General features: G+C 41.2%; 2 protein-coding genes and 1 non-coding gene across 8 annotated transcripts in view, besides 4 other annotated features; 1 reads left to right on the forward strand and 2 right to left on the reverse strand.

The window, feature by feature from the left end:
- Positions 1–3375, reverse strand: CCDC121 (coiled-coil domain containing 121). 2 transcript variants are annotated; one of them, NM_024584.5, is made up of 2 exons: positions 3313–3375; positions 1–2280 (listed from the first exon to the last, which is right to left on the reverse strand). In NM_024584.5, exon 2 carries the CDS (start codon positions 2160–2162, stop codon positions 1326–1328), a length of 837 nt encoding a protein of 278 aa, NP_078860.2. In that variant the 5' UTR covers positions 2163–2280; positions 3313–3375; the 3' UTR covers positions 1–1325. The 2 variants fall into 2 exon arrangements, with proteins under 2 accessions (NP_078860.2, NP_001136155.1); NM_001142683.3 differs by having other exon boundaries at positions 2759–3375.
- Positions 2345–2639: a silencer, noted in NCBI's record as "tiled region #1109; HepG2 Repressive non-DNase unmatched - State 2:TssF". NCBI's record gives its function as "represses a minimal TATA promoter and a strong SV40 promoter by Sharpr-MPRA in HepG2 cells {active_cell/tissue: HepG2}" and the evidence as "EXISTENCE:reporter gene assay evidence [ECO:0000049][PMID:27701403]".
- GPN1 (GPN-loop GTPase 1) overlaps positions 2610–16697 on the forward strand; it is a 23265-nt gene continuing 9177 nt past the window's right edge. Inside the window, exons 1-12 of one of the 5 annotated variants that reach the window (NM_001145047.2) lie at positions 2610–3077; positions 3738–3805; positions 4222–4315; positions 5390–5429; positions 6197–6263; positions 6996–7033; positions 9209–9287; positions 9503–9597; positions 12573–12618; positions 13248–13394; positions 14406–14488; positions 15603–15642. In NM_001145047.2, coding sequence (NP_001138519.1) covers positions 3071–3077; positions 3738–3805; positions 4222–4315; positions 5390–5429; positions 6197–6263; positions 6996–7033; positions 9209–9287; positions 9503–9597; positions 12573–12618; positions 13248–13394; positions 14406–14488; positions 15603–15642 — 804 coding nt within the window. In that variant the 5' untranslated portion in view covers positions 2610–3070. Of the gene's footprint in view, positions 3078–3412; positions 3533–3737; positions 3806–4221; positions 4316–5389; positions 5430–6196; positions 6264–6995; positions 7034–9208; positions 9288–9502; positions 9598–12572; positions 12619–13247; positions 13395–14405; positions 14489–15602; positions 15643–16697 lie in introns of those variants that run through there. The other 4 variants (NM_001145048.2, NM_007266.4, NM_001145049.2 and 1 more) reach the window with 4 other exon arrangements.
- Positions 3088–3147: an enhancer, noted in NCBI's record as "active region_15509". NCBI's record gives its function as "activates an Ori minimal core promoter by ATAC-STARR-seq in GM12878 lymphoblastoid cells {active_cell/tissue: GM12878}" and the evidence as "EXISTENCE:reporter gene assay evidence [ECO:0000049][PMID:35858748]".
- Positions 3208–3517: an enhancer, noted in NCBI's record as "active region_15510". NCBI's record gives its function as "activates an Ori minimal core promoter by ATAC-STARR-seq in GM12878 lymphoblastoid cells {active_cell/tissue: GM12878}" and the evidence as "EXISTENCE:reporter gene assay evidence [ECO:0000049][PMID:35858748]".
- Positions 3558–3657: an enhancer, noted in NCBI's record as "active region_15511". NCBI's record gives its function as "activates an Ori minimal core promoter by ATAC-STARR-seq in GM12878 lymphoblastoid cells {active_cell/tissue: GM12878}" and the evidence as "EXISTENCE:reporter gene assay evidence [ECO:0000049][PMID:35858748]".
- Positions 16406–16532, reverse strand: LOC124906143 (small nucleolar RNA SNORA36 family). The gene has a single exon (XR_007088715.1). It is a non-coding gene; the product is annotated as a small nucleolar RNA SNORA36 family (small nucleolar RNA).

The raw sequence follows: 16697 nt of genomic DNA on the forward strand, positions 1-16697 counted from the left end.
TAAAATCAGTGGATAAATGTTTTTATTTAATAACATTGTTTAATAAAAAACTACATATTTAACAGAAAAGTTGTTAAAGCTACAAGGTAAAGGCACATTGAAGGAGAATGCTTTTTAAATCCAATTTTCAGGGAATTCACTTTACATGTAAATAAAGCAGAAAATGCAGGAAAATTATTTTGAAGTTTTTCATCACTTAACAATTTCTGGGAAACAAAGTTCATCCTATTTTCCCATAGAGGACCCCTGTTAAAATATAAGATTATATTCCCCTATACTAGGATTCAGCATTCAAATAAATCACTAGTCCAACTTCAATGTCGTAGAACCCAAAAAAAATATAACTATCCTAAAAATATATAATTTAAAATATAATTTATAGTTATACTAAATGGGAATAAACATATGGCACACATTAATTACAAAGGATACTTCATGTACTAGAAAGTGCACCTGTAAGAAAATTAATAAATGACCTAAAACTAAAGCATTTAGGATAACAAACATCATTTTACTTGCTATCTTTTAGAATGCTGCTAGGGAAATCGATGGCACTTAAAAAAAAAGTTGTCCAAATATTTCAACTTTTTTTGGATACGTTTTCCTGAAATAAGTGGAGGCATTCAGTCACCTCAATGCTACAGGTGTTTCTTCAAATAAAACATTTTCAAAAGTAAGAGCTGACCTAATATATGTCTCCTTCATCTTTTCTTACCTTCTCAAACTTGTAGGGGCTTAGCATCAGATGAAAGGTCACTCTGCCTAGCACTTACTGGACTTGCTGTTATCAGAATGCTTTTTCACTCATGAGAAAACTAGAAGGAGCTACCTGGTCACTGGCACAAACTCACAAAGAGCTTGTAAAAACTGCTTTTGTCTGCTAAGTTGGTCAAAAGGAATGAGGATAAACTGGCAGAACGCTATTCAAAGTCTATTTGGAATGCTATCCTTAAAGGTACTTTCTCTATAAAGAAATACAATTTAGCTAGATGAAATAAATCACAACTGTTTTCACTTCCTTAGGTTGGTTTCCTTTAGCTAGTTTGATGTATGGTAAATGGCTAGGTTAGGGTCATGTGTTAGGTTAACTGGAGGTTTGTGGAATAGCTTATTAACGAGTATTTAAAGAAAAAGCTAGTTAAGGGAAGCTGGTTACCAAATATCTAGTAGGACTGTTGGATAAAACCATCTAATCCTTCACTCCAACACATCATGATGGAGATTTTACAATAGCAATCTGGAATCCAACAGCCTTTCTAACCAGGTTAATGTAGCACTTAAGAGTACTTGCTCCAGTTCTTATTTAATCAGTGTTATTTTAGAAGTTACTTTGGATTAATCCTTGATTTGGTGCCTTGGGGAAGACTGGGTGTGGTCTTTGGAACATCCTGTCTATTTAGGCACTGATTATGACTTCCTTGCAGTCTCTGCCTCGCCTGGATTAAGGACTCCAGATACCACTGTTCCTGCTGCAGCTGCTGCTTCCTGTTTTCTAAGTGGCTTTGAGTAGCCGTTAGTTTCTGGGCTTGCTCAATTAGCTGCAGTAATTCCTTCTTGAACTGCTGGTTCTCTCTGTTGATGCCACAGGAGTATTCAAAAATAAACCGCTTTGCTGCCAACTTCAAGGCCTGGGCCTTCATATTAAGCTCTCTTCTTTTTCTCTTTCCCAGTAGCCTCCTGTCTGGCTCGCTCAGTTGTTTCTCCAGTAATCTTTTCTCCTGGAGGAGCTGGGCCTGTACTTCCCGTGTCTTTGAAGCTGTCTCAGCTTGGACTTTCTTTGTCTCCTCCTGTAATGTCTGTATTTCTTTCTCCTGCTTTTCCTTTAATATAGCAATGTCCCTCATTGCCTGCAACTTCCGCTTCAAACTGGATTGGATATTTTCCTTTTGCAAGAGCGCTGTTTTAAGCACTGAAATTTGTTCTGCATATCTGGAGGCTGATTCTTGTCTTCTTCGTTCAATCTCTCCACTTTTTTGTAAATAGCTGTTCCATACCTTCTCAGGTTGCTCTGTGTACTCTTCAGTTTTGTTAGTCAGGTATTCCAGAAAGAATCTGTTTTCAGCCTGGACAAGTAACTTTTCTCGGTGTAGCTCCCTGGATTCCTCCAGTAGCTGTTTCCGCTGGGTTTGAGCTTGTTTTATATGCTTGTTCAGATCCGTCATTTCCGCCACTATCTTTTCTTTAAGCCTTGTCTCTACCTTTGTTAGCTTCTCTGGCTTGACAAAATTATTTATTAGACTATGATACGGTGGAAGGAGCCTTCTGGGGCCCTCAGCAAACCTGAAAGAACAAACGAGACATTCCTCTGTCAGTTAATGAAACTTTAGGAAGTAAGTGCACAACTGTCCTTCATTCATACAAGAGAATATTTCTGAGCACCAGAATGTTCCAGACATTATGCAAGGTGTGGGGAATCCAGCTAGTGGTAAAGGATGAGGAATGTAGCTCGTCATTTACAACGTGCATTCACTACAACCCTGGGAGGTATTACCTCAGTTTTAAAAAAGGAGAAAACAGGTTCAGAGAGTTTAAGTGACTTGCCCATGACTCACACCACTAGCAAGTGGCAGAGCCTGGGTATTAAAGCCAGATCTTATGACTTACTGAACACTGTTTGCAGCTACAAAGGGTCACAGAAACAGACTGGGTGGTCAGGAGTAGAAATAATTTTCTAGGCTCTTTCATCATCTTTCCTGAGTTTCTGAGGGACCTTCAGTGACTGGAGGGGAGGAAGCTCCCCTCCAGTACCTACTTGCACCTGGAATCCAAGCATTCATCCTGAAGGTCACGGCAACTGTGTAGTTCACTGAGGGTGACTGCCAAGGAATGAGCGCTAGCATCAGGAACCTGCGTCTGCAACTCGCGGGAACAATGTGCAAGTGTGGAAAGCTCCCGTAGTTTATTCGTTCGGTGCTCAAAGGGTCTCGGTGCTGCCCAGCAACCCTGGAGACTGCACCCTGCTCCAGTCCCGGCTGGTCCAGCCCTGAACTGTTTAACCGCCTCGGCTACCGAATAAGCCCGAGCAGCCGGTCCTCCAGTGGCTCCGCTCCCCGTTCTCTGTGGGCTCAAAATGACAGGCATGCTCCTCGTTTTCTTGCTGTGTGAGCCCTGCCCTCGGGACCCCATCTCTTCTGGCCTTCCTCCGGGAGACAAAAGCCCTCCCAGGCTGCAGAGATCAGCGCCCTTTTCCTAGCTCCCTTCAGCCTTCCTCTCGCTTGCTCAGCGCCCCCACTTCCTCGCCACTGTCACTAGTTGACTCATCAGCCCTGCCCGACGCTAAGAAGATGCCCTGGCAACCGCCGCGCCCCTCACCCGCTCCTTTCTGACGCTGTGGTGGTTTTCGTTCGCAGCCCAGAACATTGCGGAAGTTTCTCTACCCATGCGGTGTCTCTATGGTCGGGTGGGTGGGGCCAGGAGGAAGATGGCGGCGTCCGCAGCTGCCGCTGAGCTCCAGGCTTCTGGGGGTCCGCGGCACCCAGTGTGTCTGTTGGTGTTGGGAATGGCGGGATCCGGGAAAACCACTTTTGTACAGGTGACGTACACAGCATGGGTGTAGTAGGGGAGCGCAAAAGGTTGCCTCCGGCAGGCGGAAGGCCAGGAAGAAAGGGAGGGAAGAGGATTTGGAGGGTACCGGCGCATGGCTTTCGGGGGCTTCCCATCAACTTTAGTTCCTTCCCCGGCAAAGCCTCCTCGGGCCCTAGCCAGGTTAATTAAGGCTCTCTTCTGCGCACCTTCAGGGCATACTCGGTCCAGCTTACCACGTTGTACAGGAATTGTCTTGCTGATAAAATTGCGTTTCTCGGAGGCAAGTTACAAGTAACTTTAAAGATTAATACAGTGCTAGCACACAGGTTTTGGTGAAGATTTGCCAAATATTTCTTGCACGCCTGTCATGTTCCATTCACTGGGGATATAGCGAAAATGAGGTTGACAAGATTCATTCGTGGGGCCAAATATTTAATGGAGGAGATAGAGAAAACCCACATACGAAGAATCAAAACAAGTAAACAAGTGACTACGAGTAGGGGAAGCTTTGTTAGATGGGTGATGAAGAAAGGTAGCATTTGAACTGAGAGTTGTATCTTGGAGGTGGACATGGTGGATATTTCAGGTAGAAGAAAATCTAAGTGCAATATTCTTAAGGCATGGGTGTTAAAGGAATGGAAGTTCTCTCTTGTCCCCTCTTTGTCTCCTTCCAACCCTCTCCCCATATCTCTGCAGAGGCTCACAGGACACCTGCATGCCCAAGGCACTCCACCGTATGTGATCAACCTGGATCCAGCAGTACATGAAGTTCCCTTTCCTGCCAATATTGGTGAGTAAACCAGTAACATAACTTGTGTGCAGTGCTTTAAAGAGAATGGAAAAGGCCAGGCGTGGTGGCTCACGGCTGTAATCTCAGCACTTTGGGAGGCCGAGGCAGGTAGATCACGAGGTCAGGAGTTCAAGACCAGCCTGGCCAAGATGGTGAAACTCCATCTCTACTAAAAATACAAAAAATTAGCCAGGCACGGTGGCAGGCACCTGTAATTCCAGCTACTCGGGAGGCTGAGGCAGGAGAGTTGCTTGAACCCGGGTGGCAGAGGTTGCAGTGAGCCAAGATCGTGCCACTGCACTCCAGCCTGGTCAATAGAGTGAGACTCTGTAAAGCCTCCAGCCTGCCAGTCTTCAGTGCCTTCTTTTTTCATGTTTTCTAAACTATCTACTTTCATTTCCTTTGGATTTGCTTGCATTCCTAAACAGCTTAGGTTTTTTTTTTTTTTTTTTTTTTTTTAGACAGAGTCTCTGTCACCCAGGCCAGAGTGCAGTGGCGTGATTCACAGGTCACTGCAGCCTCAACATCCCAGGCTCAAGTGATCCTCCCACCTCAGCCTCCTGCCGCTATGCTGGGCTAGTTTTGTTTTGTTTGGAGAGACAAGGCCTCTCTATGTTGCCCAGGCTGGTCTTGAACTCCTGGGCTCAAGTAATCCTCCTGCCTTGGCCTCCCAAAGTGCTGGGATTATAGGTGTGAGCCACTGTGCCCAGCCTAACTCCTTTTAAAAAATCATGTCTGCATTGCCATTGTGTTGCCTTTGTCAGTAATAGGCAATTAGTAAGAAGCATTTTTTCCCCCTTGATTTTTGCCTCCCTTTTTCTAGGCATGTTTAAGTTGCATGAAACTTTGCACTTTGTGGAGACAAAACTCTTTGCCACAACTTTAGAGCTCCTAGCCCTAACATTCTTCATGATTTACTTGGCATTTATTCTTTGTAAGGAAGGAAACCAGTGTGAAAGTGGAGGTGGTAGAAGAGAATGCTGACAGGAGAAGGCTAGAAGGCCAGTTTTACTTTCCTGGTGGTAGGGAATGTGTATGTATTACATTCCAGTTAATTCTTTTTTTTCTCCTCAGATATTCGTGATACTGTAAAGTATAAAGAAGTAATGAAACAGTATCCTTTTCCATCTACTTTGGTCTTGACTCATTCCTGGCTTCTTGTCTGTGTATTTTGTGGCTTGAAAGAGTGTTTTTGCCTTTTCCTTGTGAAATATACAAGCAAAAGGATGGAAGCTGATTGTGGGAGAGGTAGGTGATCAGAAATACTATTTCAGCTTGAGATTTTAGTTTTCTTACCATCTCCCCAGATGGCAGGCTGTTGTAATTAAAGAGCAGAGAGTATGATAGGATAACTGACAGCTACCTGGGTCCCACAAGGTAGTATTTTGCCTTGGAGGATCATCTGTTGGTCACCACCTCTTTAGACTGGGAAACTCAGAAATGAGTGAGTTTAGTTGGATTAACTCTTAGTAAATTGCTGTATGAAATGTGTACTCTCTCCGTAGGCAAGTCTAAGTAGGAAGACTAATCATAATCAGCAGATTGCTTGGTTTATTTATGAGGATCAGAGCCGGAGGTGTTATACAGGTGGCCTTAATGACCAATGCCAGTGGGCTGTCACTGCCTGATGCACCTGTATTACATTTTGGTCACTTTGCTTTCTTCATTTTGCCTGACCACTCCTTAAATCAAATGAGTGAGCCAGACCTTGATAATGACTGTTTCCCTGTGTGGTTAAGTTTGTATGGTAGTCAAGGATTAGGTTGCCAGTATCCATTAATGGAACACTAATTTCATAATGCCGTTTGTGTGAATGATAGCCTAGGTATGAACTTTATAATCTAATCTATAAGCGATTTCAGTCCTCAACTTGGTGTCTAGATATGGACTTGGACCCAATGGCGGCATAGTGACCTCACTCAATCTCTTTGCTACCAGATTTGATCAGGTATATCTGTCTTTAGTATATTAATATGGTTGTGTAAAAATCTGTGACTCTTAAATTCCTTAGCTTGATCACATTGGTAAAGAAGAGCAGCAAACCTGAGCATAAATATAGAAAATAAGTAGGCATTTTGTCAGACAGAGAAGTAGACTATGAGAAGGTGATCAGTATGGTCAGACACTTCAAATTTAATATTTGTGACAGCTAATAAAAATCCAAAAGACCTGGGTTATTTTCTTGACCTGTTCTTTGCCTGTGGTATTACCCCGAAGCTGGGATGGGGGTATTTGGGAGTGGGATGGACTAGCAGTCATGGAATGGAAAGATGATGGGGCATTTTACTTGTGATAAATATTTGTCATTCTTTAGGTTTTCTTTGTCACCTACTTCCATAAGAGTGTTTTATAATCACTGGTTTTTATACTCTGATGTTAGGCCATGAGACAGGCTGTTAACATTTTGACAAGAGATAACAACTTGACATTGACAGATCAAAGTCTTCAGCTTCTCAGATCCTTGGATTGTGCCCCAAGATGGTATTGGAGTGCTGCTGATGTGGCTGTGTTGCTTTAGTTCAGCCTGTTTATTCTTTGTTGTCCTAAGATTGCAAATGTTCAGTAGGTGATTGAGGGATTCAGTAGGTGATAGTGCCTGTGAGGTATGCCACCCTGGAGAGGGCTCTGTGATTTTGTGTTGAAATCGGAATTTGTTGTCATTGACATCTTTTTCTTTTAGGTGATGAAATTTATTGAGAAGGCCCAGAACATGTCCAAGTAAGTGATGTCAGTAACACCCATTTATTACTCTGTAGCTGACATATTTCTAGGCTTCATGGAGGATCTGGGATACCATCAGCCTCTGAAAGAATATAGATTGAGATGAAACCATTAGGAGTGAAAAAAAAATTGGCAAATCATTAAGATGCTTTAGAATATAGAGCTAAATTTAATATCATTTCATCCTCAATTACTTTGATCCCCAATTTACATGGCTTCTTAGGAGCTCTTTTGAGACTTTGTCCCAATTCAGTTGTCCACCTGCCTTCTCTTGGGAAACCATGCTTGTTGTCATTAAAGTATCTGAAATACCTTTCTAATTCTTATTTAAATGAATATAGTCTACATGGTTCAGAGAAAATTTTTTAATTTACAGAGTGTCAGAATAGGAAATATTTGTTCTTATGGCCATTACCCAGTTAGCTGTTGTTCAAGGTTTACTTTTTTTAAAAAAGATAATTTATTGTTTTATAAAAATTCAAACCATGCATGATATTTATAAGATGAAACCATCACCCCGATTCCCACTAGAAGTAACATCATCATTCAGCGACTAGCATTCCACATTTCTATATACACAGATAGAAGGATGAATGGATAAAAGTGCTTTTACAAAAATGGGGTACTAGAGGTAGCTTTTGTTTTGTTTTGAGACAGGGTCTTGCTCTGTCGCCCAGGCTGGAGTACAGTGTAGTGATCTCAGCTCACTGTAACTTCCACCTCCCTGGCTCAGGTGATCCTCCCACCTCAGCCTCCCAAGTAGCTGGGACTACAGGTGTGAGCCACCACACCTGGCTAATTTTTGTATTTTTGTATTTTTGGGATGGAGTCTCGCTCTATTGCCTAGGCTGGAGTGCAGTGGTGTGATCTTGGCTCACTGCAATCTTTGCATCCCGGGTTCAAGCGATTCTCCTGCCTCAGCCTCCTGAGTAGCTGGGATTACAGGTGGCCTGCTACCATGCCTGACTAATTTTTGTATTTTTAGTAGAGATGGGGTTTCACCATGTTGGCCAGACTGGTCTCAAACTCCTAACCTCAAGTGATCTGCCCGGCTTAACCTCCCAAAGTGCTGGAACTATAGGTGTGAGCCACTGAGCCTGGCCTGGAGGTATTTTTTTTTTTTTAATGACAGCTTTATTAAGATATAATTCATATACCATAAAGTTCACTCGTTTAAAGTGTATGGTTGTTTTAGTCTGTCCACAGAGTCGTGTGTTGATAATTACTATCTTCAGAATATTTTTGTCATCCTGAAAAGAAACCCCATACTCATTACCAATCACTCCTTATTTTCTGTTCCCTTTAGCCCCTAGTGACTACCCCATTTTCCATTCCCATTGGCAATATGATTTCTCCACAACCAGTTCCTCCATAACCTTGCCAACTTTTGTTATTCTTCTTGTTTTTGATTATAGCCATTCTAGTGGATATAGAGTGGTATCTCATTGTGGTTTTTACTTTTATTTTCTTAATAACTAATGATATTGAACATCTTTTTAATGTACTTATTGGCCATTGGTATGTATATATTTAGAGAAATGTCTATTAGAATTCTTTGCCAATTAAAAAAATTCTGATATAATTCATAATTATATCAAATTAATTCACAAAAAAGTTGATATAGTTCATAAAAACAGCTTTATTGAGATAATTCACATACCATACAATTCACCCATTTAAGGTATACAATTCAGTGGCTTTTAGTATATTCACAGAATTGTACAACTATCACCACAGTCAATTTTAGAATATTTTCATCATCTCAAGAAGTAACCTGATATTCTTCAGCTAGCACTTTCCCATTCCTCCCATTCTTCTTCCTCTGTTCCACACTCACCCCCGCCCTAAGCAACCAGATGTTTCCCAAGAGATTTACATTCTGGTTTTGTGTCTTTCATTTTAAATGCATTGTGTTTCTATAAAAGTTTCCCCTGTGATCATTTGCAGCAACTCATGGTCTGCTGTTCCTGCCCATTGGCGTGAATATTGGTCATTGAACAAAGTCTAGGGGATCATCATGTGCAGTTTAGGGCCAGTAGGAGGAAGTTAGATTTGGCAGTGTGCAGAGGTTACTCCAGTCTTGGATAACCAGATGTTTATTGTCTTATATGATGGAATATCCTTCAGCATAACACAAATGTAACACTTCTTTAATGATCTTTCTTGACATAGATATGTGTTGATTGACACACCTGGACAGATTGAGGTATTCACCTGGTCAGCTTCTGGGACAATTATCACTGAAGCCCTTGTGAGTATTCTAGGACTTGCTACTGAGAGTAGCTAGAGGGGCTAGACTGGATGAGCATTTATTTTTAATTGCCTTGGACTTTATATGGGAGGAAGTTGTAGAAGCTCTGCACACCCTGCCTAAAGTGGTTTTCCCTTGTTAAGGATGGTGGAAAAAGAGTTTGAGGACAGATCGTGAGCCCTCTGACCAAGGCTTTGATTTTTTTGTGGCTTTAGGCATCCTCATTTCCAACAGTTGTCATCTATGTAATGGACACATCGAGAAGTACCAACCCAGTGACCTTCATGTCCAACATGCTCTATGCCTGCAGGTAATTGATTGTTGGTGGGGAAAGTGTTCCATCAAGGTATAAGGCCTTTTTCTCTTCTTCTTCCTCTTTTTTTTTTTTTTTTGAATCTGGTTGCTTACCCCTGGATTTGTGCTCATTCAGATTTGCTGTTCAGTTGAGTGGCTGTGAGCTGGGGAAGGTCAGAGGAGAAAAGAGGCACATGTGCTGTTGGCATTCTCTCTCAATACCCTCTGATCTTCCTCCCTTGTTGTTACAAAAAGGTGATGTATGAATATGAACTGTCTGATAGTTGTTCCCAGTTGGATAAAATCCAAGTTTAAAGATAAAGTCCTCTGGGCTGGGTCTGTCATCCCTACACTTGGGAGGCCAAGGTGGGAGGATCGTTTGAGCTTGGGAGTTTGAAACCAGGCTGGGGAACATAGCAAGACTCTGTCTCTACAAAAAATGTTTTAAAATTAGCCAGCGTGGTGGCACGCCCTTGTAGTCCCAGCTACTTGGGAGGCTGACGTGGGAGGATTGCTTGAGCTCAGGTGGTTGAGGCTGTAGTGAGCCATGATTGTGCCACTGCACTCCGGCTTGGGGCAACAAGAGCCTGGGGCAACGAGAGAGAGAGAGAAGAATAGAGTCCTCTGGCCTAAATGATGCTGGTAGAGTGAAATTGTAACATGAGGAGATACCATGAATAAGAAGATTTATCCATAATTGTAAAATGCACAGGTGGCCAGGCATGGTGGCTCATGCCTATAATCCCAGCACTTGGGGAGGCTGTGGTGGGAGGATCGCCTGAGCCCAGGAGTTTGAGACCAGCCTGGGCACCATGGTGAAACCCCATCTCTACAAAATATACAAAAAATTAGCCAGGGATGGTGGTGTGTGCCTGTAATCCCCGCTACCTGGGAGGCAGAGGTGGAAGGATTGCTTGAGCCTGGGAGGCCAAGGTTGGAGTGAGCTGTGATGATGTCACTGTACTCCAGGCTGGGCAACAGAGTGAGACCCTGTCTCAAAAAAATAAAATGCACTGGTTTGCCCCAAATGTGGCACCATTAGCAGAGGAAGGGCATGCCTCACTAGATTAGTGCATTAAGACTGAGGAGCAAGGCTGACAGTTATTAAAGCTGAGAGAATTTAATTTTGAGGGTACACAAATGCCATCACCAACATTTGTCTTTTCTGATATGACAAGGGATGTCCCTTTTTGGTGGATGCAAGAAATTGTGATCCAAATAGAAATCTGAAGATTGACAGCATTATTTCATTTTCATATTAATTATTTATTTATTTATTTATTTATATTTTTTCGAGACGGAGTCTTGCTCTGTCACCCAGGCTGGAGTACAGTGGCACAATCTCACCGTACTGCAATTTCCGCCTACTGGGTTCAGGTGATTCTCCTGCCTCAGCTTCCTGAGTAGTCACCACACTTGGCTAATTTTGTATTTTTAGTAGAGTCGGGGTTTCACCTTGTTGGCCAGGCTGGTCTCAAACTCCTGACCTCAAGTGATCTGCCCGCCTTGGCCTCCCAAAGTGCTGGGAATACAGGCATGAGCCACTGTGCCTGGCCCATTTTCATATTAATTGTTTAAAAGAAAATTATTTGATTTGCCTGATAGTGTTAATCATTTCTTTTTAAAAAAATTAATTAATTTATTTTTAGAGGTGGGGTCTCGCCATGCTGCCCAGGCTGGTTTTGAACTCGTGGGCTCAGGCAGTCCTCCCAGCGTGGCCTCCCAAAGTGCTCAGATTACAGGCATGAGTCACACCCCCAGCTGGTAATCATTTCATGATGAAACATACAGTTGATCCTTGAACAATTTGGGGGTTAGAGGCGCCAACCCCTGCAGAGACCAGCCGGGGCACCATGGTGAAACCCCATCTCTACAAAATATAAAACTTTGACTCCCCCCAAACTTAATTACTAAAGGCCTACTGTTGATTGGAAACCTTGCTGGTAACATAAACAGTAGATTAACACACATTACATATATATTATATGTATTATATGCTGTATTCATATAATAAAGCTAGAGAAAATAAGGGGAAGATATATTAACTGTTCATTAAGTGAAGTAGATCGTCATAAAACTCTTCATCCTAATCGTCTTCACTTTGAGTAGTCTAAGAGTAGGGGTTGGGTTTTGCTGTCTCTGGGTGGCAGAGGTGGAAGAAAAGGTGCATATGAGTAAACCTTGCAGTTCAAACCTATGTTGTTTAAGGGTCAACTGTGTATCAAAATATCCCTTTGTACACCTTAAATATATATAATTTTTATTTGTCAACTATACCTCAATAAAGGTAGGGGTAGAAACATTTTTAAGATGTTACTTTACAGATTGAAAAAAATTTTAATATTCTTTTCCCAGCCTTATTGAGGTATAATTGACAAATAAAAATTGTATATATTTACATGTTATTTGTAAAGAATAAAGGAGATAATACTTATGAAAGTGCTTATTAGCACAGTGCCTAGACTATACAGATTGAGCATCCCTTATCCAAAAATTTGAAATCTGAAATGCTCCAAAATGTGAGACATTCTAGACACTGACATGACACTCAGAGGAAATGGTTATTGGAGGATTTTGGATTTTCAGATTTGGGATGCTCAACCAATAAGTATTTACAAATATTCCAAAATCTGAAATAAAAAACACTTCTGGTCCCAAGTATTTTAGATAGGAAATTCTCAACCTGTAATAGGTATTCAGTAAATGTTCATTTCCTTCTCTGAAAAATACCAATTTGGTTAAAAAACAAAACAAAAACAAGTTCAATATTAAGGCATTATTACTTCAAACAAGAGTGAGAGTGTGTGTGTTGCTTCTGGGTGGTAGTTGTTTTCCTGTTGGCAGAGACTATATGATGTTATGTAAAAATGGATGACTACTTTTTAGATTCTGAACTCATTTCTGTTCTCTTACTTAGTCCCGACATGCTGACACTGGATGAGCAAGAGCTTATGTGCTTTTACTAATAACTTCTCAATGTTTGGTTTTCAGCATCTTATACAAAACCAAGCTGCCTTTCATTGTGGTCATGAATAAAGTAAGTGTATTCTTCCTGTTGTGATTCACCATTTTTCATCAGAACCTTGTGGTTAGAAGGTTTAGGTGGGTGAGAAAGATTATTTCAGATGCTGGAGACCAGATTCAGGCTTTACTGAAACAAATTCATAGGCACTTCGAGAAAATGAATCAATCAAATTGAATGAGCAATTATTACCAACTCTTGTCTAAAATTATTTTAGGCTAGGTAGAGTAGCACTTCAACCACAGTATGTAGATTATCCCTCAGAGTCAAGATTGTGTAATTACGAGAGGGACAACTAGTCTACTGGAAGTGGCAATTAAAAAATTCTAAACTTCTCTGTTGGTTGATGGCTAGGATGCAAGAGACCTTTTGACTTCAGAGCCTAGAATGTGCTGGTGTCCATTCTGGTCCTGGTACTTGGCAGTGGATAGTGGAGGGTCAACCAAGAGAATACACATCTTCATTTAATTACACTGACTACACAATGATTGTGGTTCTTTGTGGCTTGTTGCAATGGAGGGGAAATAGAAGCAGAGAAAGAAAATATATGGATGATATGTTCTTTGCTGTCAACACTTAATTAAAAGAATAAATTTTGCGTTTGTTGGCTCTGGTTGCTCATAATTGACTTCTCTCTGGTACAGACTGACATCATTGACCACAGCTTTGCAGTGGAATGGATGCAGGATTTTGAGGCTTTCCAAGATGCCTTGAATCAAGAGACTACATACGTCAGTAACCTGACTCGTTCAATGAGCCTGGTGTTAGATGAGTTTTACAGCTCACTCAGGGTAAATTTTCTCTCCTGCTCACACTGACAGCCTCTCCAGATAATCTGTTAACCCATAGGATTGGCTTTGAACCTGGCTGAGAAAGGAAGCTTATTACCTACTGAAAAGTAACTTTTAAAGCATTGCTTATTAAAAATTGTGGAGTGTACAAGAAGAATAAGATAGGGACCCCAGCTTCAGAGTTTATAGTCTATTTGGGAGAGAAGGCTACACACAGAATTAAAACATATGATATATTGTAGTAAGTACCTTAAGAAAGATTGGAAGTTGGGCCTGATGATTGTGAGGCGGCAGATCAAAATGACAGATTTTGGAGGATGTAGCATTAGAGGTATGCTTTGAAGAAGGGTAAGATTTATGTAAGCAAAGGCAGAATGGGTTAATTGCCCAAGGAAAGACATAGACAAAGCAGAAAGTGATTTGGTTTGGTTTGTTAGGGAATAGATAATAAGTCCTGTTAATTGTTCAGTCCTAATTATCTTTTTTTTTTCTTTTTTCCCTTTGGAGAGAGGATCTTGCTTTGTTTTACCCAGGCCAGAGTGTAGTGACAGGATCACAGCTCACTGCAGCCTTGACCTCGTGGTCTCAAGGGATCCTCCTGCCTCAGCTTACCAAGCAGCTAAGACTATAGGCGTGTGCGGTATACCATACCCAGCTAATTTTTTATATTTTGTAGAGACTGGGGTCTCGCTATGTTCCCCAGGCCAGTCTTGAATGCTTGGCCTCAAGTGCACCTCCTGCCTCAGCCTCCCAAAGTACTGGTAGTATAGGCATGTGCCACTGCACTCAGGCCATATCTTTCTTTTTCAATTTTTTATTTTCCATGGACTTATTTCTGTGACTTTTGACTGGGTGTGCTGTTTTGTTCTTTTTTAGCCTGGCTTTTTGCCAAAGACTTCTCAAAATATAAACCACTCTTACTAAGATTTTATGACATTTAAACAAGTTAATGTACTTCATTAAAAAATATACAATGGTTTCTTTAGTGGCATTTATGATGCTTTTTGGCAGGTGGTGGGTGTCTCTGCTGTTCTGGGTACTGGATTAGATGAACTCTTTGTGCAAGTTACCAGTGCTGCCGAAGAATATGAAAGGTGAGGATAAAGGAAAATTCTATTGATGACATTCTTAATAACCTACAATTCTGATATGAAAGCAGTTTTTCCAGGAAAAGCATTACATTTTCATGATGGATGTATTATATTTGGTTTGCATATGTGTATTGAATCAGACCACACTTAGGGGTGACAAGTTCCCTTTAAATTTTGTTTTTTTTAAATAGAAGTATAAATCTTCATTGTATTGAGTGATTAAGAGCAGGGATCATCAGACTTTTCTGTAAAGAGCTAAACAGTAGGTAGCTCAGGCTTTGTGGGTCATATAGTCTCTGTTGCAACTGCTCACGTCTGCCATTGTAGGACAAAAGCGTCCTCAGACAATTTGTAAATTAATGGGCGTGGCTAGTGTTACAGAAAAACATTTATGAAAACAGGCAGTGGGCTGGATTTGGCACTAAGGTTGTTGTGAAGATTGAGAAAACGTATACAGCACTTATCACAATTGCTGACATATAGTAAGCACATTTTATAATAAATGTTATAACTATTGTCATTGTTAATACTGGAATTCAAGTAAAGAAAAGTGGAGTCAGAGCCCTGTGCACTTTCCTTAGGCCTGTGGCATGATAGCCGGCTTATTAGTGTCATGTGTCTTTGGCTTCATATTTTGCAAGATCCTAACAACCATATTTTGGTTTTCAGACATGTTATTTTGATTTTGATTCATTAGACACAAGGGTGTTATCAAAACCTTAGGATAGACTCTTTTCTGTATCCTTTCACTGTTGTTGTTCAAGTAAAGCACATAATTGTATGTTGCACGTCCTGAGCTCAACAGGCTTATCTTTTACTTATCTCACCCTTTTATCTCAAATGAATGGTGAGTTCATCAGTCATGTTCTCACCAATATTAATCTTTCCAGCCCAGCAGTCAGGATTGTGTCTCCTGGTTCCAAGGTGGGAGCGGGCACCTTGGCTTTTAATTCCATTGGGTAGACTCTGTCAGTGACTAAGATTTGTTACATCTGATGTTGAATGAAGTCAGATGTTTTATTATTGTCAGTCTTAGGAAAATAGAGATAAGGGGATGTGGAGAGTCAGTAGGATAGAGGATTAAGCAAAGGAATTTAGAAAGTGTTTCTCTTTACAGGGAGTATCGTCCTGAATATGAACGTCTGAAAAAATCACTGGTAAGAAGGGAGGCTGTTTGTATATTTTAAAAGGGCCATTAAAAAAACCCAGCTCAATCTTGATGACATAAGTGCTTTTGTTTTGGTTATTAATGTATCTTTTATTTAATTAAAAAAGTTTTTTTTGTAGCTTTATTGAGGTACAAGTGGCTAATGAAATTTCAGTGTATCTTCTAAATACTTGTTAATTTAAATTTGTAAATTTGTATGTATGTTGTCTGGGTGCGGAAAGTCTCCTTAATGTTTCTTCCCTTTCAGAGGTCAATTTAAAGCTAGTTGTAGAATTTTGTATAAGAGTGTAGTGGTGCTTCACAACTCCTTTTCTTGTTGTTGAGAAAGGGTCTCACTCTGTCACCCATGCCAGAGTGCAGTGGCACGATCGCGGCTCACTGCAGCCTCGACCTTTTGGGCTTAAGCGATCCTCCCATCTCAGCCACCCGAGTAGCTAGGACAACATGTATGTACCACATGCCTGGCTAATTTTATTTTGTAAATTTTTTGTATAGACAAGGTCTCACCGTGTTGCCCAGGCTGGTCTCAAATTCCTGAGCTCCTGCAGTCCTCCCTGCTGGGCCTCCTGTAGTGCTAGGATTACAGGCAGGTGCCACCATGCCCAGCCTTCTCTTATCCCAAATGATCGAGTGTCCTGCTTCCTTAGGCTCATTGGATCCTTTGTCTCTGAGCCTTCCTGCTATGTCTACTTCAGGTTTTTGTGTTTTTTTTCCCCCATATAATAAAGTTTATTGTATCTTTTGTTTTTTCATTTTGTAGGCTGGGGATGAATAAAGAGTAATGCTTTCTATGTAGGCATTTTGCCTAGCCAGTTTAAATGTTCCAGTTCAATTAACAGAGCAGGGGATCCACCCTGGACTGAACTCAACACTTTAGAATTGAGGGTTCTTTTGAAACCTTTTTGTGTTCCGTTTCTGAACCCTCTAAATCAGTCTGCAGAGCCCTCCAGTCTAAACTTCTGCAGTAACCCAGGCCCACGCTACTTAGTGTTTCTGTCCCTATACCAGACGTCCCTTATCTGCATCAGTTTTTATGTAGCCTCT

This window comes from Homo sapiens, chromosome 2, assembly GCF_000001405.40.
Source record: "Homo sapiens chromosome 2, GRCh38.p14 Primary Assembly".
Taxonomy (NCBI): domain Eukaryota; kingdom Metazoa; phylum Chordata; class Mammalia; order Primates; family Hominidae; genus Homo; species Homo sapiens.